At 45.4% G+C, this 22872-nt stretch overlaps 1 protein-coding gene across 2 annotated transcripts in view; it reads right to left on the bottom strand.

The window, feature by feature from the left end:
* The window catches only part of MYO10 (myosin X), a 274382-nt gene extending 252118 nt beyond the window's left edge, over nt 1-22264 (bottom strand). For both annotated transcript variants that reach the window (XM_006714475.4, NM_012334.3), the window contains exon 1: nt 21764-22264. In XM_006714475.4, coding sequence (XP_006714538.1) covers nt 21764-21784 — 21 coding nt within the window. In that variant the 5' untranslated portion in view covers nt 21785-22264. The remainder of the gene's footprint in view (nt 1-21763) is intronic.
* Between the last annotated feature and the right edge of the window lie 608 nt (nt 22265-22872).

Raw genomic sequence — 22872 nt, forward strand, 5'->3', positions numbered from 1 at the left:
CTGAAGATACCAACTTCAGTGGTGGGGCAGGAAAAGCAAAGGAACATGAGCAAGTCTGTCCGATCCTGACCAAATGATAAAGACCTTAATGTTCCAGCATGGTACTGCAAGCTGGGCCAAGGGTTCAAGGTGGCATTTCTTCCTACAGTACCTACGGGAAGCTGGGTAGAGACCAGGGTGTTTTATAGGAAGTGCGGGCGGCTTGGCTGAGTGCCCACTGCCAGAGCCAGCTCTGCCGATCCCAACAGCTGGCCATGCCGCCTTCCTTCGCTGCCATTCCACATGATTCCTGCCTGTGACAAACTTCCCAAGGACCTTCAGGAGCTTCTGCTGGAATACACTAAGAAGCCTGCAAGCCCATTCTTATAAGAACCTAACATGCGTTATCAGTATCAGATAGCGGTCAGCAGAACAGATCAATATGCCCCATGACCTCACTGGGATCAGTGATATCTGACAGAACCTACGTGGCCCACCTATGCCACTGTTAATTCTGCAGACCTGTTCTTTCTGCTGAGTCTACTACTTTTGTTTTGCCTATTTGTAAATACTAATTTTTCTAGCCCCAGATATGTCTTTCCTACATTTAAGGGAGTCCTAGACAAAACATGCCTTCCACTGGGTACCCCAGACATGAAAATAACCTTGAGATTTAATCACTGCCTAGTATGGGATCGTATCGCACTAGAAAAAGTCCAAATATTTTATAAGGTCACTGCCAGTCCTTGGAACCGGCAAGCCACCTGGCCGTGAGAGCAGTGATAAGCTCTTGAGACATCAACTTGTAAGAGAAGAAATGAACACACAAGCTCTGGGGGAGCCAAGAAACTTGGGATCCCATCTGGCTGTGGGACTTTGCAAGGGTGGAACTTTCGCAGCTGATTAGAAATTAATATTGTAATATACATACATCACAAGATTAAAAGTATAACCTTAAATAAACGGAAATTTCCCAGAAATGCCAAAGTCACCAGCAGCAAAGAAAAAGGCTCTGGATTCATGAACAAGCTCTTCAAAGCTGGGCAAGGGACTTACATCTTGGGGTGAAGATTCTGTCTACAAAATGAAGAGGTGAGAATAGATGATCGCTAATGGCCAACTGCAAAATAATATTGATCACACAAATAAAATCCAACAACCAGGCCCTTTACACTGAACTAAGGTATATAGTGCAAGACAAAAAGAGTACTTTCTGAAGTCAGAGTCCCACCAGGGAACACAACTGGGTTCCAAGCCATAGGTAGTTCATCTCTACATGAGATTAACAACAGTTCCTAAGATGCAGAGGATTCAATGAGATCCAGGATATCTGTATATAAATGGCTCAGCACAGCAAATGGCACCAAATAAGTTCCTCACAGATGTCCTCTATGATTATCGTTATTTTTAAGGGTTTATAGATAAATCTGAGGGACCCTCCAAGGTGCATCAGTCAATCAGTCGTACTTCCTTGGTGTCCTCCGCATCCCCCTCCACAGCATCATGGTCTCAGTAATGGCAGGGGATGGGAACCCTCCTAGCTACCAGTACAACCACAGCAATGGCAGGCCAATCAGAGGTCAAGTGGCAGAGGTGAAGGCACGCTGAATTCCATCAACAGTGGTCTTCAACAAGCAGTCATCTCTGATGCAAAGAAATCACTCACCATTGGCTGGGCGCAGTGGCTCACGCCTACAATCCCAGCACTTTGGTAGGCCAAGGCGGGCGGATCACCTAAGGTCAGGAGTTCGAGACCAGCCTGGCCAACATGGCAAAACCCAGTCTCCAATAAAAATATAAAAAATTAGCCGGGTGTGGTGGCATGCACCTGTAGTCCCAGCTACTCAGGAGGCTGAGGCACGAGAATTGCTTGAACCCAGGAGGCAGAGGTTGCAGTGAGCTGAAATTGCGCCACTGCACTCCAGCCTGGGCGACAGAGCGAGACTCTACGTCAAAAAGAAAAAAAAAAAAAAAATCACTCACCATACATTTCTTATCCTGAATCTGAATTAACAGAGCTGGTGAGTAAATATTCAAAGCATGTCGCTTACCAGTTGAATCGCTTGGTCCCGAGTGTTAAGCCTCAGCCTTGGTAAAGATGTCATCGCTGAAGTCTCATTACCGACCCATCAAGCCCAGATTTCCACCATGAACCATCTCCAGAGACCTTCGTTCCGCCACGTCAGGGTCAGCTAATGCTCAGCAAATTATCCACTTAGTAAATTCATTTCACCGTCAACAGATAGTGGTGCAGACTCGTGTTCTAACAAATTAAATATCCCATTCGGAGTTCTGAGGAGTCTTTTTAAGTTATTCCCAATCAATAAGAAAAGCACACATGACACTAAAGCTCCTCTAGAAAGATGGCTCATTTCTCTTCCAATGTCAAAAAGCCATGAAGTAAAAAAAAAAAAAAAAAAAAAAATCAGATTACATTAAATTACTTGCTTTTTTTCTCCTCTTGCTAGGAAGGGAAAAGAGGAGAGGAGAAGCATGGAAAGAACTCACTCCTAAATCACAGATTAAATCCAGGAAGTTTAAGATGATCCAATTTCATTTCCCTCCTGCCTGAAGATTTGATGAGAGCAGCAAGGGTGTGAACCTATAAGCAGCCTTCCATTTATTTTCAGCAAATAAAAAAGTTTTGCCTGCTGATTCAACTGCCCTCACCAAGCTTTTAGAGTGATTCATCACTGTGGCTGGCAAGAAAACAATAGGCTTGATGAAAATTAAGAAGAAAAACCACACACTTACTCATCAAAATTGGGAGAAACGGAAAAGAAAAAAGATATGAATTCACTGGTAAAGGTTCACGTACCCCATTCAAAGAGGCTGCCTCTTGCATTATCAGGGTTGGTAACAAAAATGTTGGTAATTAACTAAAATAATTAGATGACACGAAGAGGTCCAAAGAATATAGTGTAGATTGCTAACGTCAGCCCCTTCAATCTTTCTTTCATCTCAGAAATATACAAATCAGGTCCGTATTGTCTGTTCCTTCGCTTCTTAGGATCAGTGGAAACTCAAAGTTGAGAAGGCCTAGAAATAAAAATGGCTTAATATCCCAACTATTAACCAATGCTGCAGAAATCAATGTTGGAATAAATAAAACAAACATATAACTATAGATCTAGATATTTAATATAACCAAGTTGTACTAAATATAATGCCGGTATTAAAATTAATAAAAATCAGATTAATGCATCATTCACACACACCCCGAAGAGTACACTATGGAAATTACTTTAGGAATAATGATTTTATTTAGAAAATGCAGCATATTAAAATAAAATACAAGAGGGAAGATTCTTGTAAGTCAATCTTTTATATCAGGTTTTCTTACCCTTAACACTATTGACCTATTAGACTGGATCAATCTTCATTGTGGGGGCTGCCCTCTGCAATTGAGGATGTTTAGCAGCATCCTCAGCTTCTACCCACTAGACACCAGTAGTCACCTCCCATCAGTGTTAACAACCAGAAATGTCTCCTGATACTTCTAAATATCCCCGGTGAGGCAAAAGTGCCTCCAGTTGAGAACTACCATTCTATGCAAACCAGTAACTCTAGCAGGACATGGTGGGTCATGCCTGTATTCCCAGCACTTTGGGAGGCTGAGAGGGGAGGAGAGGATCACTGGAACCCAGAAGCTCAAGACCAGCCAGGGCAACACAGGGAGACCCATCTCTACAAAAAAAAAAAGGAAAAAAAAAAGAAAAAATCAGATGGGCATGGTGGCACACATCTGTAGTCCCAGCTACTCAAAAGGCCGAACGGGGGAGAATCTCTTGAGCCCAGGAGGTCCGGGGTATAGTGAGCTGTGATTGCATCACTGCACTCCGGCCTAGGCAAAAAAGCAAGACCCTGGGTCCAAAAAAAAAGTAATTCTAACCTATGTATCCATCCCTTGATAACTTCCAGGCTACATACTTTACAACAAAGAATATTTCTGCTGATCTAACCATGCTAGCCACTTTCTTTTTAAACTACAGAATACGTATTCCATAGGAATAAAAAATATTAGCAGCTGCCAAGTAGCACCACCTTAACTAAATCACAGCCTTCAAAAGCTGGTTTAAATGTAAACCATCCATTACCTTTTAAAGTCTCACACTACTAGGAGAGTCAATTTCCAAAATAGTTTCTTAAAATTGTTATCATTAAACTTGAAAGAAACAGTTTCAAGTTTAATGGGTAAGGAAGATGTGAAGAGTCCAAAAGCCCAAAGCTGTGACTAGACAGCTGCGTGTCACTTCCATCTACAAGGCAGATAGAAGCATCAGCTCAGCAGCTCAGCAGATTACAAGCAAGATTTACAAACTGCATATGGATTCCAAAGCAAATACACTTTCCCTCAATATTGCTTCATGGAAGCTAGAGTTTACCAGAAATAGACGAAACTCCAAAAAAATAACTGATGAAATTCAGTGTGGCCTTGGCATTCCACACGGATGCTCCCTGGAAACACAAAATTTCACTGAAACTATTTTTCTTTTCTTTTTTTTTTTTTTTTTTTGAGACAGAGTTTCGCTCTTGTTGCCCAGACTGGAATGTAATGGCACAATCTCAGCTCACTGCAAACTCCGCCTCCTGGGTTCAAGCGATTCTCCTGCCTCAGCCTCCCGAATATGGGATCACAGGCATGCACCATCACGCCTGGCTAATTTTTGTATTTTAAGTAGAGACAGGGTTTCTCCATGTTGGTCAGGCTGGTCTCAAACTCCCGACCTCAGGTGATCCGCCTGCCTCAGCCTCCCAAAGTACTGGGATTACATGCGTGAGCCACCGCGCCTGGCCCACTGAAAGTATTTTTCGAGCCCTCACTCGGAACAGGGATCACTTACTTACGCCAATCACTCGGGATGAGTGTGCAGTTGCTGTCATCACAAAAAGAAGCAGAAGGTCTATGTTTCTGCTTTTGCTTGGCTATAGGAAAATTTCTATTCCTTGTTCCAGTCACTGGCAGAAATCAGCTAATTCCTTTTGGACTTGTATTACCTGACTGTTCTGCTCTGTATGGAGAAGCAAATATGCATTCCTGAAGATTTCCACACAGTCTCTATTCTTCCGACTTCAAAAGCCTACCAGAACGGCCAGGAGTGATAGCTCACACCTGTAATCCCAGCACTTTGAGAGGCCAAGGCAGGCGGGATCACTTGAGGTCAGGAGTTCAAGACCAGACTGGCCAACATGGTGAAACCCTGTCTCTACTAAAAACACAAAAATTAGCTGGTCGTGGTGGCAGGCGCCTGTAATTCGAGCTATTCAGGAGGCTGAGGCATGAGAATCTCTTGAACCCAGGAGACGGAGGTTGCAGTGAGCAGAGATCATGCCACTGCACTCCAGCCTGGGCAACGGAACAAGACTCCATCTCAAAAACAAAACAAACAAATAAACAAAAATCTACCAGAACAACTGCCTTCCCCTCCAAATGAGTTCATGGAGCTAGAGCTCTCTGGCCTCCTATCCTGGCTCTATCATTTCCCAGCTGTGTGAACTTGAGCAGACTACCTCCCTTCTCTAAGACTCTGTGTTCTCATACATAAAATAAAGATGTAAACAATACAATCACTTAGGACTACCAAGCAGATTAAATGAATTAATACATGTAAAAAGCTCAGCACAGTCCTAGCCCATGGTAAGTGTCCAATAAACCTTCACAAGTTAAATAATGGAATAAATAAACACACAGGCCGGGCGCAGTGGTTCACGCCTGTAATCTCAGCACTTTGGGAGGCCAAGGCAGGTGGATCACCTGAGGTCAGGAGTTTGAGACCAGCCTGGCCAACATGGAGAAACCCTATCTCTACTAAAAACACAAAAATTAGGCCGGGTGTGGTGGCTCACACCTGTAATCCCAGCACTTTGGGTGGCTAAGGTGGGTGGATCACGAGGTCAAGAGATCAAGACCATCCTGGCCAACATGGTGAAACCCCGTCTCTACTAAAAATACAAAAATTATCTGGACATGGTGACACATGCCTGTAGTCCCAGCTACTCGGGAGGCTGAGGCAGGAGAATCACTTGAACCCAGGAGGCGGAGACTGCGGTAAGCTGACATTGTGCCACTGCACTCCAGCCTGGCAACAGAGCGACATTCAGTCTCAAAAAAGAAAAAAAATTAGCTGGGCTTGGTGGCACATGCCTGTAAACCCAGCTGCTTGGGAGTCTGAGGCAGGAGAATCACTTGAACCCGGGAGGCAGAGACTGCAGTGAACCGACATTGCGCCACTGCACTCCAGCCTGAGTGACAGAGCATGACTCCATCTCAAAAAAGCAAATAAGATAAACAAAATAAATAAAAGTGTTCCTGAACAATGCAATATTACTTAATAATAAAAAAGGAACAAAACCGGCACGTGTACCAACATGGATGGGCGGCAAAGGCACTGAGTGAAGAAAGTCCGTCTCAAAAGAATATGTACTGATCGATTCCATTTATACAATACTCTCAAATAACAAAACTATAGAGAAGGAGAAAAAAGAAGTAGGTGCTGGGGGTTAGAGGGAGGGAGGCTGGGGTGCCACCAAAGGTGAGCCCAAGGGACTGTCATGGAACAGTTCTATATTGTGACTGCTGGTGGTTGTACAAGTCTACACATGTGATAACACTGTTCAGAATCACACACACATAAAAAATGCATGTATGCAAAACTGGTGAAACATGAATAAGGCCTGTAGACTGCAGGAATGTCAATTTCCTGATTTTGACACTGTATTTTGTTATGTAAGATGCCACCACCAGGGAATGGCAGGTACACAGAAAGGGCCTCTCTGTACTATTTGGGTGACTTCTGAATCTAGACTTCTTTTTAAAATGGATACCAGAATAGGCCGGGTGCGGTGGCTCACGCCTGTAATCCCAGCACTTTGGGAGGCTGAGGTGGGCGAATCACTTGAAGTCAGGAGTTCCAGACCAGCCTGACCAACATGGTGAAAGCCCATCTCTACTAAAATACAAAAATTAGTTGGGGCGTGGTGGTGGGCGCCTGTAATCCCAGCTACTCGGCAGGCTGAGGCAGGAGAATTGCTTGAACCTGAGAGGTGGAAGTTGCAGTGAGCCAAGATCGCACCACTGCACTCCAGCCTAGGTGACAGAGCGATACTCCATCTCAAAAAATAACATAAGATAAAATAAAATAAAATAAAATAAACGTATACCAGAATAACACCATCCAAGATATATGTGGGAGAAGGCAGCAGATGTAATTTACCTTGACATAACTTGACATGCCCTCAAAGCTTTGCGAGAGAATACGACCTTTTTCCTAGTGGAGAACAACTGTCAGTTTAATTACTCAGTATAATAAATATTTCTCTAACACTCTAGGGAAAGGAACTAAAAAAGCACTTAGGGGGTGAGGGGTCTGAGAACGGGGACCAATGAAAGCCTTAGCGCAGTGGTTCCAGCTGGCCAGGAATATTCTAACTAGGCTGAACAACTGAACACATGACTCAGACAGTAAATAATGATTGTAAATGCCCAAACCTTATGGGGAGAGTTTGGATCCCAAAGAATAAAATTTCCACACTGATAAATGTGTGGTCTCCCACACATTTACTACTGTGAAAGGCCATTAGGAAACAGTAGATCTGGTGGAATTCAGGGTCTGGAAAAAAGAAAAGGAAAAAGAAAAAAAAAAAAAACGAAAACAGTGGAGATGAGGAAGATCGAAAAAATACTATCAAGTTTCATCTGTGGCCTTAAGAGTATAGACATGATACAGTTGTTCTCAACTGGGAGCAATTTTGCCTCCTAGTGATGTCTGAAGACAGTTGGTTGTCACAACCAGGAGGTGAGGGTATGATCCTGGCATCTAGTGATTCAAGGCCAGGGAGGCTGCTCAGAATCCTACCATATGCAGGACGGCCACCACCGCCCTCACCCACCACTGCAACAAAGACTGATCTAGCCAAAAACGTAAAGGGGGCCGGGCACAGCAGCTCCCACCTGTAATCCTAGCATTTTGGGAGGCTGAGGCAGGTGGATCACCTGAGGTCAGGAGTTCGAGACCACCCTGGCCAACATGGTAAACCCCATCTCTACTAAAAATACAAAAATTAGCCAGGCGTGGTGGTGCGTGCCTGTAATCCCAGCTACTCGGGAGGCTGAGGCAGGCAAATCACTGGAACCCGGGAGGCAGAGGCTGCAGTGAGCCAAGATCCCACCACTGCACTCCAGCCTGGGTGACAGAGCAAGACTCCGTCTCAAAAAAAAAAAAAAATCAAGGGTGCCAGGGTTCAGAAGATCTGAAAAAAGGGCACATGGGCCCACATCTGAGAATCCGAGGGGGAAAACTTCCAGAGGGCTGCACACCTTGGCCCTTAGCTCCAAGCCGCCTGCAATGATCAGATAATCAGATGTTAAGAGAATCCAGCTTGTGATAGCAAAGTTTCAGAGAGATAAAACAACAACAGTAACAAATTTGGGGAGATATAAGTAAGATCCAAATAGATGACTGGCTCTCTAGAAAATGAAGTGTAAGGGAAGGCTGAAACAGCTCAGTATGTTACTGGTCTAAAAGGAGTGTGTGACCCATTCAGCAACCTCTAGGGTCAGGAGAGGAGAGTGTGAGCTGCAGCAGGCAGCAGAGGAGGCAAGGCTAGCCAGCAGGTCCATGGTCACCGTCTTCAGGATCCTGGGCCAAGGCAAAGTGTTCATGTATCTACTCTAGGGTTGTAGTTTCGTTTCTGAGAATGGTTAGCTCAGCCATCTGGACAGGTGGGTTTTACAAACTTGTGCTCAGCCATGTGTGATGGCTTACACCTGTAATTCCAGCACTCTGGGACGCTGAGGAGGGAGGATAGCTTGGGCCCAGGAGTTCAAGACCAGCCTGGGCAACATAGTGAGACCTTATCTCTATAAAAAATTTGAAAATTAGCCGGGCGAGGTGGCACATGCCTGTGGTCCTAGCTACTGGGGAGGCTGAGGCAAGAGGATCCCTTGAGCCTGGGAGGTGGAGGCTGCAGTGAGCTGTGATAGTGCCACTGCACTCCAGCTTCAGAGACAGAGCAAGACTCTATCTCAAAAAAGAAAGAAAAGGAAAAAGAGAAGAGGGGAGGGGAGGGTGAACTAGTGCTTTTTCCTGCAATAGTAAGTTGTCCAGTTTCAACGAGAGTTCTAGTTTCTTCAGCCTTCAACTGCTAAATCCCCCTGGGTCACATCATGAGAAGAACAAAACATGGGTAGAAATAAACAGAAGTAAACCTGTATTAAATGACAATTTAAATGACAATGGTATATACATTGTCAGAGATGTAGTGTATTTTCACCTGGCACTAAACTCTTCTTTTTTTTTTTTGAGGCGGAATCTCGCTCCGTCGCCCAGGTGGAGTGCAGTGGCACGATCTCAGCTCACTGCAAGCTCCGCCTCCTGGGTTCATGCCATTCTCCTGCCTCAGCCTCCCAAGTAGCTGGGACTACAGGTGCCCACCACCACGCCCGGCTAATTTTTTTGTATTTTTAGTAGAGATGGGGTTTCACTGTGTTAGCCAGGATGGTCTCGATCTCCTGACCTCGTGATCCACCCGTCTCGGCCTCCCAAAGTGCTGGGATCACAGGCATGAGCCACCACACCCGGCCACCTGGCACTAAACTCTTATTTCAAAGTCCAGAAAGATTTCCTAGGTTAATAAATAATAAGCCTTAAACACGCCCATACACACACACACACACACACACACACACACACTCCCTAACATCCTGGCCACCTAACATGTGAACCACCACGACATAGTAACTGTTGTTGCCTAGGGTTAACTCACAAGGATACTAAAATGCAAAGAAATAAAAATCAAAAAATTGGCCAAGTGCGATGGCTTGCACTTATAATCCCAGCACTTTAGGAGGCCAAAGGGGAAGAATCCCTTGAGCTCAGGAGTTCGAGACCAGCCTGGGCAAAACAAGGAGACCTCATCTCTACAAAAAATGTAAAAATTAGCCAGGCAAGGTGGCACAGGCCTGTGGTCCCAGCTACTCAGGAGGCTGAGGTGGGAGGATCGCCTGAGCCAAAGAGATCAAGGCTGCAGTGAGCCATGATAGCACCACTGCACTCCAGCCTAAATGACGGAGTGAGACGCTGTCTCAAAAAACTAAAGTAAAACTCCATACAAATAATTCTCCAAATGAATGTCCACTGGCTCCCCAGGCAATGTACAGCCTAGTCCCTTGAGTGTGCTTTGGCCTTAAACGAACATCAACAACCACGCTGGGGGGTGAGATGAATGGAGCATGTGAATCAAGAGCCTTGTTTGCAATTAACAGAAAAGATGGCCTTCTCCTGGTTCACAGAAGACCTAAAAATGGAAATGAAAATCTAGTATCATGAGCTAACTTCCTCCGCTAATCAATGTATTTCCTTAAGCTTCTAGTAAGGAGTTACAAAATCCCCGGGGTCATAAATACATCATGACAGGGTCTCTCAGCTGCGCAGCTGCCAGCTGCACTGACACCTCTCATGAAACTTCCACTGCCAAATAATCCAAATAAGAATCTGCAAACTTTGTGATCCAACATTTCCACTCCCGGGAAATTTTACTCCTCAGGAAATAATCAAATAGGCACGCAATGACTTAGGTACAAAAGCGTTCATGCGCTGTTTTCTAGAAACAACCTAAAATTGTCATATAATTGATGATACAGCCACAGGAAGAATGGGCAGACTACTCTTGGACCCTCACACCCCTGCACATCAAAATGGCAAAAAAATAAGTAAATATGCAGAAACTCCTCAAATAAAGTACAAATCATGGTCGTGGGTGGAAAGTGATATTAACTTTGAATTTCTATTGGCAGGAGTTATTTGGTATCAACTATCACTTTATCACTTTTTTTTTTTTTTTTTTGAGACAGAGTCTCACTTTGTCACCCAGGCTGGAGTGCAGTGGCACGATCTCTGCTCACTGCAAGCTCCGCCTCCCAGGTTCACGCCATTCTCCTGCCTCAGCCTCCCAAATAGCTGGGACTACAGGTGCCCACCACCACACCTGACTAATTTTTTGTATTTTTTAGTAGAGACAGGTTTTCACCGTGTTAGTCAGGATGGTCTCGATCTCCTGACCTCGTGATCCGCCTGCCTCGGCCTCCCAAAGTGCTGGGATTACAGGCATGAGCCACTGCACCCGGCCTATCACTTACTATTAATAATATTAGCAAAAGTTTCCCAAAACCCAAACAGAAATAATTTGGCCATTACACTTAACAAATGTTTTGAATAATTTTAGAGAAAACTTTTCCTCAATCAGAAAGGACCTGGATGTGAAACATGCAACAAAAGTAATAATTGAAGAAAATATTTAAAAATCAGAATGAAATAAAACATCTGCATGACTGAGAAGGAAAAGATTCACATAGACCTAATCCCCAAACATTTCACATAGACCATTTTCTGGCCAATATGCATTATGGTACACGCATTACGGTATACTCCTGGGTTGCCCAGGCAACAGAGTAAGTAAGAGTAGGTGGTGCAATCTCGGCTCACTGCAACCTCTGCCTCCTGGGTTCAAGCAATTCTCCTGCCTCAGCCTTCCCAAGTAGCTGGGATTACAGGCGCCTGCTACCACATCTGGCTAACTTTTGTATTTTTAGTAGAGATGAGGTTTCACCTTGTTGGCCAGGCTGGTCTCGAACTCCTGACCTCAGGTGATCCACCCGCCTCGGCATCCCAAAGTGCTGAGGTAACAGGCATGAGCCACCGTGTCCGGCCTCAGTTTTCTTTATAACATACACAGCATTGAAAAGTTATAAAGAACCTCAGAAATACCTGATTTAAGAAATGGTGATAAATCACAATATCAGCAATAATGACTCACATAGACTGCCTGGTTATCTCTTATCCAGAAGTCTTGCTGCCAAAAGTGTTTCAGAATTTGGAATATTTGCAAGACACCAGTTCAGCATCCCTAATAAAAAATCCAAACTCCAAAATGCTCCAAACAGCATTTTCTTTGAGTGTCATTTCGGCACTCAGTAGAGTGGCTATGGTTAACATTAACTGATTGTACATTTCAAAATACCTAAAAGAGGATAATTTGAATATCCCTAGCATAAAGATAACAATTTAAGGTAATGGATATCCCAATGACCCTGATGTGATTATATGAAAGCATCAAATGATCACATGTACCTGGAAAACGTAAATCTAATATGAAAAATTAACAATAAATATTTTTTTCAAAGTTTCCAATTTGGGAGAATTTCAAATTTTGGATTTTCAGATTACGGATATTCAACCTGGATAATGAAATTAAAATACTTTGTAGTACTTCTTAAAATCAATAATCTATCATATGCAATCTCATTCTTTTTTTAATCTAAATAGTGCTGTATGAATTTCGCTGACAATGTCAGTAACTACTGTCCTGCCTCAGCAAAGCAGGCCATCTCTAGACTTAGATTAAGAAAAGAACAATCTGGCCAGGTGGGGTGGCTCACGCCTGTAATCCCAGAACTTCCGGAGGCCAAGGCTAGTGGATCAATTGAGGTCACAAGCTTCAGATCAGCCTGGCCAACATGATGAAACCCCGTCTCTACTGTAAATACAAAAATTAGCCAGGCATGGTGGCACACACTTGTAATCCCAGCTACGTGGGAGGCTGAGGCAGAAGGATTGCTTGAACTCGGGAGGTGGAGGTTGCAGTGAGCCAAAATTGCGCCACTACACTCCAGCCTGGGCGAAAGAGGAAGACTCTGTCCCAGCAAAAAAAAAAAAAAGAACAATCTAAGAACCACAAAGAAAGGTTCTCCACCTTGGTATTACTGTCCGTAAAACAAACTATTGTGACAATCTTGACTCTAACCACATAACAAGTGAGTTTGCTAAAATATGGACAAAAAAATAGATTTATGAAAAATATACTATGGAGTATACGTATTTATTACTCATGAAACATCAACAGAACACCCAGACATAGGCAACTGTAATTAAATTCACTCATGTTTGATATTTTGCTGACTTTCAGCAATAAAACCCATAGCTTTAAACATGTTTGTTGATTCTGCCCTAATGACAGATGTATTTGTCCAGGCAGAGTAGAAGCCATTTTATTTACCAATTTGTAAGCATGGTTTATAACTTTTAAATGTTTAGGTATGTGATATGGGAACTGAATTTGTACTCTTGCCTCTGGCCCCACAAATGATATTTAAAGCTTTTCTCAATCAACTCTTCAGTGAAAAACATTACAGGTGTGTTTTATCAGAAACATATATATGAAGGCATAAAAAAAAAGTCTCAATGCATCTACCACAAACATGAAGAGCCACACCATGGGAGCTTCTTTGTGTCTTCTGCTTATGGTATTTTCTTTTGTTTGTTTGTTTATTTATTTATTTATTGAGATGGAGTCTTGCTCTGTTGCCCAGGCTGGAGTGCAGTGGCACAATCTCGGCTCACTGGAAGCTCCGCCTCCCAGGTTCATGCCATTCTCCTGCCTCATCCTCCCGAGTAGCTGGGACTACAGGTGCCAGCCACCACGCCCAGCTAGTTTTTTGTATTTTTAGTAGAGACGGGGTTTCACCATGTTAGCCAGGATGGTCTGGATCTCCTGACCTCGTGATCCTCCTGCCTCGGCCTCCCAAAGTGCTGAGATTACAGGCTTGAGCCACCGCGCCCGGCCTTTAACTGCCGTAATTTAAAATGCTTTTATACGGAGGCAATTTTAATCCTTAAGAGCAGGCAGGGAGTCGGACTGGGTGAAGGTAGAGCTATTAGTTGGACAATTCCCATATGTTTCTCCCTTGTTCTAGCTGTATTTCAACAGATGTGTTGTGGCTTTGTCCCCAAAACTCTAATGTCTTTTCCTGTAACTGGCAGCATTAGATGACATGATGTCATGTGACATGAGGTGCTAGATTTACTTTAGGCCTGGTGGAAATATTTTCTGAACACCTCTTAGCAAGGCAGCAAAATGTTTTATTCAAGGAATGCTCTTGGGAAAACGACCCAATGTCCTGTCAATAACTGTTCCATGGGTATCGATAAGCTAACAAGCAAATGATAGGTGATATGAAGAAACTCCAACAAAGCACTCAGAATCTTTAACTGAAAAAGAAGATTCTATCAAAAAACCTCAAGTAACACTTCACTAATTAATTGACAGCTGGAATTAGGGAAACAAATGAGTCCCACATTTTCTTTTAATAAACACTTCTCAAATCATCTTGTTTTCTAAGTGCTTTATTTTGTTTTAATATTTTTATTATTACTATTACAATTTTGGAGACAGTCTCCCTCTGTCACCCAGGCTGGAGTGCAGTGGCTCACCGTAATCTTCACCTCCCGGATTCAACCGATTCTCCTGCCTCAGCCTTCCAAGTAGTTGCGATTACAGGCCCATGTCACCACGCCCAGCTAATTTTTGGATTTTATTAGAGACAGGGTTTCACTATGTTGCCCAGGCTGGTCTCGAACTCCTGACCTCAGGTATCCACCTGCCTCGGCCTCCCAAAGTGCTGGGATTACAGGCATGAGCACATGGCCCTAAGTGCTTTAGTATGTAAACCTTCCTACTATCCTCATGAAGTTGGGACAACCAGCTTTAGAAACCACACTTTATGGGCCGGGCATGACGGCTCACACCTGTAATCCCAGCACTTTGGGAGGCTGTGACGGGTGGATCACAAGGTCTGGAAATCGAGACCATTCTGGCCAACAAGGTGAAACCCCATCTCTACTAAAAATATCAAAAATTAGCCGGGTGTGGTGGCAGGCGCCTGTAGTCCCAGCTACTTGGGAGGCTAAGGCAGGAGAATCGCTTGAACCTGGGAGGTGGAGGTTGCAGTGAGCCGAGATCACACCATTGCACTCCAGCCTGGGCGACAGAGCAAGACTCCATCTCAAAAAACAACAACAACAACAAAAACACACACACACATTTTTAGAAGGAAACAGAAGGCGCTTGGCTTTCCCAAAAAAAGCAAATCAAATAAAAATTAGTGGCATGTTTTTTTTTTGGTTTTTTTTTGAGACGGAGTCTTGCTCTGTCGCCCAGGCTGGAGTGCAGTGGCGCGATCTCAGCTCACTGCAAGCTCCGCCTCCTGGGTTCACGCCCTTCTCCTGCCTCAGCCTCCCGAGTAGCTGGGACTACAGGTGCCCGCCACCATGCCCGGCTCATTTTTTGTATTTTTAGTAGAGATGGGGGTTTCACCGTGTTAGCCAGGATGGTCTCCATCTCCTGACCTCGTGATCCGCCCACCTCGGCCTCCCAAAGTGCTGGGATTACAGGCATGAGCCACTGCACCCGGCCAAATCAGTGGCATGTTCAAAAGCTGATGAACATTTTCCTGCGGAGTTTTCAACATTTCTAGGGTGTGGACTACTTGTTTTCCTAAACTCCCATGCAGTTTTCCACTTGAAAATCATTTAATAACTGCCCACTTTTAGGGCATTTCATCAGAGAGCCTAGAGAAGATGACGCAAGTTTAAGGCAAAGGACATCAACAGGACAGAAAAGCATGGCAGTGAAGAACTCTCTGTGGCTCTGGACACAGCCTGTCTGGGTTCAAATCCTGGCTATCGTTTTCTAGCTGTGTGACACTGAGTCAGTTACTTAACCTCTCTGTGCCTCACTTTCTTCATCTATGGATTGGGTATAATTATAGAGCCTTTCCCATAGGGTTGTTCAAGGGATTAAATGAGTCACTAAATGTGAAGTGCCAGCAACATGCCTGGCACATGGTAAGTACAGTTGTCCCTATGTATCTATAGGGAACTGGTTCCAAGACCTTCCCCAGATACCAAAATCCATGGGGAAAAGTCTACATGTTCAGTACAGATGCAATTTTTTTCTTGAATATTTTCAATCAGAGGTTGGTTGAATCCAGAGATGCAGAACCCACAGATACTGAGTACAGGGCTGACTGTACTCAAGAAACACTAGCCATATTTATTATTGTCTTCAAAGAACTGTAAGATACTTCATAATCAAGGGAAAAAGTTAGAAGCATCTCCCCTTCCCGCCATAAAATAATCTGAAAATAACCATTATGCAAGGATTGAATCTCAACCATGAGGACATTTCAATGCCAAGGAAGTGATGAAACTTACTTACAAATAAGATATTTAACCTCGCAAGGCTGTTTACTCATTTGAAAAGGGGAGAGGGTTTGTAAAGCATGTAAAGCCTCTAGCTAACAGCAGTAAATCCCTCCTAACAAGACCAAGACAGAAAGAGAGCCAGGTTTAGAGGTAAGAGAATAGAGGTCACCGTGAACTAGACCTGTTAGAGACGGTTTCAAAAAGGAGCCAGACAGGTGGGACATTCGATAGACAGAGAGGCCTGCCTGCACAAAGGATGGAGTGGAACTGGGTAACAGATCCTCTGGTGTAGGATCACGTGCGAGAAAAGAATAAAGAGAGAGTTACAAGATCAGAAAACCTTGAAAACCAGACTGAGGAATGTGGACTTAATTTTATAAGCAATAAGAACATGCTTTAGACAGAGTTCTGGAAATACAAAATCTGCCAGAAATGTACAGGCTGAAAAAGAGAAAACAAATAAATGCAACGCACCACAGGAAGCTACCTCAGAACAAAAAGCTCTAAGGTCGAGATTTCCCTGCACCAGGAGTACTGACATTCCATTCACCAAGGGCCACTGGTTCTTAATTTCAAAGTACAGTTACTGTGACCAAGCCTTTGTTATTACTCACCTACTATGTGCCAAGGGCTCTGTAAGTCCTCTCTCAAATTCGGCTGATAACCATGCAAACTAGGAACTATTACGCCCATTTACAGACCAGAGAGCTCAAGTTCAGGATTTAGAGCATCTGGCTGAGATCCCATCGGAGGGAGCCAAGCGCTACTGCTAAGATAGGATGCTCTGCACTCAGCCTGGGGGCAGTTAGGCAAGGGGAAACGCTTAATCCAGACTTCACCGGAGGCTCATTCTTGAACGTCCCCTACTAGCTAGTGACATGAAAATGTTACGTAGCAGTTACTCTAAGTCCAAACTGTTGAAACTCATGAATAATAAGGTACTCCCGGCTGGGCATGGTGGCTCATGCCTGTAATCCCAGCACTTTGGGAAGCCAAGGCAGGCGGATCACCTGAGGTCGGGAGTTCGAGACCAGCCTGACCAACATGGAGAAACCCCATCTCTCCTAAAAATACAAAATTAGCTGGGTGTGGTGGTGCATGTTTGTAATCCCAGCTACTCGGGAGGCTGAGGCAGGAGAATCGCTTGAACCCGGGAGGCGGAGGTTGTGGTGAGCCGAGATCGCACCATTGCTCTCCAGCCTGGGCAACAAGAGCAAAATTCCATCTCAAAACAATAATAATAATAATAGTAATAATAATAAGATACTCCATGTCCTACCAATCACAACAGCAGGAGAGCACATTCAAGGTTTACATCCTCAAATGTGAGCCCACTTAAAGCCAGCTGAACTGGAAAAGCAAACACTCTGCTCTCTCCCTCCACCACTCTGGTTAAACAGTGAGGGACCTGCCCATGCCAGCTTGTTCCTGGTTTGTGCTTGATTTTGCAGGAACAGCCGGCCACATGATATGGAGTGAGGAAGCAGTCCTACCCTGCCCGCCCCAGCCAGACAGCTTATTGCTCCTGCTGCAACAACTGTCCCACTGCAGCTGCTCCCCCTGGCTTTGCTGTCCCCAACATAGCAGGGGGAAAAAAAAAATGAGTACTTGACAATAGAAATGTTTTCAAACTACAGAGAAGAGGCAACACGCTATATCTCCATTGTGAGAAAAGGGAAAGGGACCCAGCTAATCTCCTGATATGATTTTATAGTCATCAAAGGGGTTGCCTTCAGGAATTGGTGATACAAGAAGTCCTCAGCAGTTCCCCTTTACACATGGAGACATATCGAGGGTGAGGAGAGAAAGCTGCCAAAAATAACAATGTCCACATTTTTCTCTAACAAGAAAAGATGTCAATAGATCACAAACAAAAAAAATATACAACCAAATGGGGAGAAAATTGGCTTGGGAACTCTACTCACTTAAAAAGCTATTTGAACAACTCCAGATAACCAACCACAACCACAGTCCCTTGTCAAGTTAAGTAGAAGAGGTTGGTGTTTCCACTTAACGTCTTTAGAATGAAGTCTGCTCTAATCCAGAGTGAACCAGACTGGAAGAAACAGGTATGTCTGGAATATTTTCCACTAACAATTTATCCCTTAAACATTAATACCTGCTTTCTGTATTTGTATTTGTGAGTATCTTACTTGTGTACATTTTACATATTTATTCTGAAAATCAAGGTGTTTGATTAGTCTCACTAATAATCCTCCGAGATCTTGTATTTGAACAGACACATCACACCTCTGCCTAACAGGGAAACAGAAAGGTCAATTTCATTTGGTACTTACTGGCCCCTACTATATTCCAGGCACTGTACTTGGCCCTGAAGACATGAAAACAGTGTCCACTTCAGCACATCAACACAAGTTTGCACAGTAGCCTTGCCCCTTTCCTGGTTGAGCCTTTTCTGTTTGCTTTTTTTATTATTATTGCTTCTGGTTACAGACACATCTAAACTTAGTTTCTGGCTGAAGTAAACTTAACAACTTACTTAGAAATGCTGAAAAAACAAGCTTCCCCAAAGCATACACACAATTAACTCGAGGGGAGCCATAAAATTCTAATGAAGGCCATGAAGAAACTGAAACTGAGGAATGTGGCATGCTCAGTTTCTCTAATCCTGGAGAACATTTTGAAGTCAGCAGCTGTCAGCTGACTGGCACAAGCTTTGCAAGCTTCCCCCTGGCGCGCAGTAAGACACTATCTATCTAATTAATCAATCAATCTAGCAGGCAGTAAGAGTCTATCTATTTTGTGACACAGGGTCTGTTGCTCTGGAGCGCAGCGGTGCAATCATGGTTCACTGCAGCCTGGACCTCCTGGGCTCACCTCAGCCTCCAGAATGGCTGGAACTACAGGTGCATACCACCACACTCAGCTAAGTTTTGTAGAGATGAGGTTTCACCATGTTGCCCCGGCTGGTCTTGAACTCCTGGGCTCAAGCAGTCCTCCCACCTCAGCCTCCCAAAGTGCTGGGATTACAGGCTTGAGCCACCGCACCCGGCCAAATCCTATTTAAAACAGGGAAGCGCAGACAAGGCTGTGCCTGCAACACAAATAGGAATTAATACCGCCAAACAACTGCTTCACAGGTCTAGCTCAGTGGATCTCAACTGGGAGTGATTTTGCTCCCCTGTCATTCAGCAATGTCTGCAGACCTTTCGGGTTGTCACAACTTGGGGGATAGGGTTAACAATTACTGAGTAGAGTCCAGGGATGCGTTTAACCTCCTACAACACACAGGACGGCCTCCAACAACAAAGAATTACTCAGCAATGGTACCAGGTTTGAGAAACCCTGGTCTAGCTAGAAATAGCAGTTGCGAATCACAAGCAGCTCCCATTTCCTTATTATTTGGCCATTCATACACAAAGCTAAACAGGCAACATCTCATTCAGTAATTTTTCCCCAATTGTTAGCACTGGCTTTAAACTGTTGTCCAACAAGCAACAAGTCATTTACCCCTAAGCCACAATGGGAAAAGTTAGCAAAGACAGAATTCTACTTAGTGATAAGGAGGCCAAACAATTTAGCTGTCCTTGGGGAATATATCACTTCCACACTCGCTGTTTCTATTCTAACAGGACATTAATTACAGCATTTTCTTCACTGGACAATTTAACAAAAGGATGCTCCATTACAAGACATGAGAGAGAGAAAGGGGAGCTGGGATCTATGTTAAGAGTATGTCTACAATTAATACCTCACTATTTAACCTCTCTGACTGGCCCTGCTTCCTTCCCACTCAAAGTGATTAGATTTAAGGGTGGAACTTTCACGGCTGATTAGAAGTTAATATTGTAATACACATACATCACAAGATTAAAAGTATAACCTTAAAATAAGCGAAAAGTTCCCAGAAATACCAAAGTCACCAGCAGCAAAGGAAAAAGGCTCTGGATTCGTGAACAAGCTCTTCAAAGCTGGGCAAGGGACTTACTCATATCTTTGGGTTAAGATTCTGTCTACAAAATGAAGAGGAGAAAGTAGAAGATCACTAATGGCCAACTGCAAAATAATATTGATCACAGAAATAAAATCCAACAACCAGGCCCCTTACACTGAACTAAGGTATCCAGTGCAAGATGAAAAGAGTACTTTGAAAAGTCAAAGTCTCACCGGGTAACAGGAGATCAGGACGCTGTAGCGCGTTATCCTGATGTTCCCCCCACTTGCACTAGGGGGCAGAGTTCTCCCCAAGGGGGAGCCACGGACCCCTGTGGTGCTCAGACAGGCTACAGGAGGAGTGAGATCCGTGCAAACTGAATACAAATTTCTATATTTTCATCAGATTTTCTAAGGGACCCAGAACACAAAAACAACAAAGTTAAGAATCATTGCCCTAGGGGCAGGGCCTCCGTTTTCTTACAGATGCAAGCAATTAAACACCGGAACTCACTGTAGCCCGAGGGTCCTTTACCACTGGACAACGTGCAACTCTTGCAGAAAGTTCTGGTGCCTTTCGACAAGCATGAAAACAAAAGTCTATGGACTAGAAAATGCGAGCGTCTCACAATTATATATATTTCACTTTTTTTAAGAAAAGGAAAAATATGTATTGATGGATAATTCCTTTCTAGTCTTCCTTCCACAATGAATGTGGGTATCACATCTGAAACACCACTTTTAAAAACTAGATATGACTACTAAACAAGAATGCATTTATCACTTTGGCCAGTATGAATAGCTGTCTGAGAATACAGTCAGTGAGCATGCAGAAAGCAGAATGACTTGAAATATTATATCCAATTAAATCAGATAAACCAAGTCGGCTAACACAGAGGCAAGCCCTCATCAATCTGATTTGCTGGAAGACTCCAAAGCGGTTCTGCACTCAGAAAACATTCCCTGGCTTTCAACGAAAATCACATCAGACTCTCTCAAGTCAACTAAGTTTACTTTGAGCCACTTCAAACCTCAAACTTAAACAGAATTTATTAAATAAACACAACCAAGAAAGGAAAGGGAGCCAAGAAACCACAGTAAGTCTCGATCCCAAAGGGGGAAAAAGGGTTCTCAAGTTAAGTTTCAGTGTCCCACCCTCAACGACCCTAAAGAGGGCATCCGTTTCATCTATTAAAATAGCCACTGTTTGCCCTAAACGAATTTTCTTTACATTCGAATTCAAAATCTGCATGGACACTCTACACAAATACATGATCATTTGATCCCAGGGTCTGGAGTTATCCCAAGCCTTAAAAGAGCACTTCTCGGCGAGCAAAGTAACCGATTAAACCCTTGCCTCTCCTTCTCACACTTCATTAAGCCGTCTCCTCTGGAAGTGTTTGAACCCCTGCACAGGAAGCCCGCACGTTTTGCAAAGGAAATACCAGACAAGACCTTTCTTGGAGAAAGGCAGGTCCCCGCTGAACATTTTATTGGGCTTCCTGCACCCGGGCAGTCGAGCGGGCGGATCGCCCCGCCCGCGCCCCGGCGCGCGCCGCCTCACCTGGCGCGGGTGTCCCAGGGCGCCCCGAGAGCCAGCCACCCACGCAAACGGAAACGCACCTTCGCTACCTCCCGGAGCAAAATGCGAGCGCGGGACAGGACGAAACAAAACCTGCCCGGGCTTACTCATCAGAGACTCCGCGGGGGGATGGGGGGTGATTTCAGGAGACTCCCAGAAAGTTGCGCCTTCCAGGGCTTAGGAAAAAGTACCCAGGGCGCGCGGCGTGGTGGGCAGACGCCTCTCTCCCTGGGCTCCGGAGGCCAGGTCGGACTGGGAGCGCACTTACCTCGGTGAAGAAGTTATCCATTGTTCCAGCGCAGTCCCGGACTCGCCGAGTGCCGCTCCGACTCGCGGAAGTCAGCGCCGCCGCGGGTCCGGGGAAACCATGCGTGTCACGGCGCCACTCCCGAGGACGCGCGCCCGCGGGGCTCCCCTGCTGCCATCGCCCGGTCCCTTCTTGTCCTTCTCACCTTTTGTTCGCCCAAACCCAAGTCCCTAACTCGCCCGTCCCGACGGCAGCCTTTGTCTCTTCTTCCTCCAAGTTCCTCACTACTGGGCGCAGCGCTCGCAAGCGGAGAACAGCTGGTGGCACATTCTTCCCCCAGGCGGGGGAAGGCGGCGGGGTGCTGGCGAGCGCGGCCCCCTCCCTCTGCGCTCCGGCCGGGGGCCCTCGGGGCGGGCAGGAGGACAGCGGGCCGCAAAGTGAGCAGGAGCCGCGATCCCCGCGCGAGCGCTTGGAGGTGAGCAGTCCCGCGCCGCGGCTCAGCCAGCTCTCGCCCGCGGGACTACAGCCCAGCGACCTCGCCCCGCCCTCCCGCAGCCGGCCCCGCCCTCCCGCAGCCGGCCCCGCCCTCCCGCTCGCGGCCCCGCCCCCAGGAGCTTGGCCCTCCGCCAACCACACCGTCTGGCCCCGCCCGGGCGGAGCGCCCCGCCCCCTTCCCGACCAGGCCCCGCCCACTCTAAGCCCGAAGCAGCCGCAGGCTCGTTAGCGGACCCGGGAGGGGGCCGCGTGTTTCCCCAGGTCTTCCCACGTAGGCGTGGGGAGGGGATTTAACTCTTCCCTCTGCAGAGAGAGACTAAACAATCACTTAGAGGGGAGGAGAAGGGACTGGGGGCTTCTGTGCCTTTCATGTTTAGCAGACCCGGGAACCGGCTCAACACGGATCTCATTAATGCAGCCCGGTAGACTAGCAATCTCGGGAAGGAAGCGCGGTCAGCGGAGCTGCCGGGGCTGCGGGGCCAGATCAAAGCGGAAGACGGAGGCTAATCAGAATTTCTGGAAGCTGCATTCCCGTGTTGACTTTCTGTCCTGCAGTCGGGTTTGCTTAAGACGTTTGCGTAACAGCGGGGAAATGTAGTTTTGAAACTGGAAGGGGACGTGGCCAATATCACCTT

Source organism: Homo sapiens, chromosome 5 (genome assembly GCF_000001405.40).
Source record: "Homo sapiens chromosome 5, GRCh38.p14 Primary Assembly".
Lineage (NCBI taxonomy): Eukaryota > Metazoa > Chordata > Mammalia > Primates > Hominidae > Homo > Homo sapiens.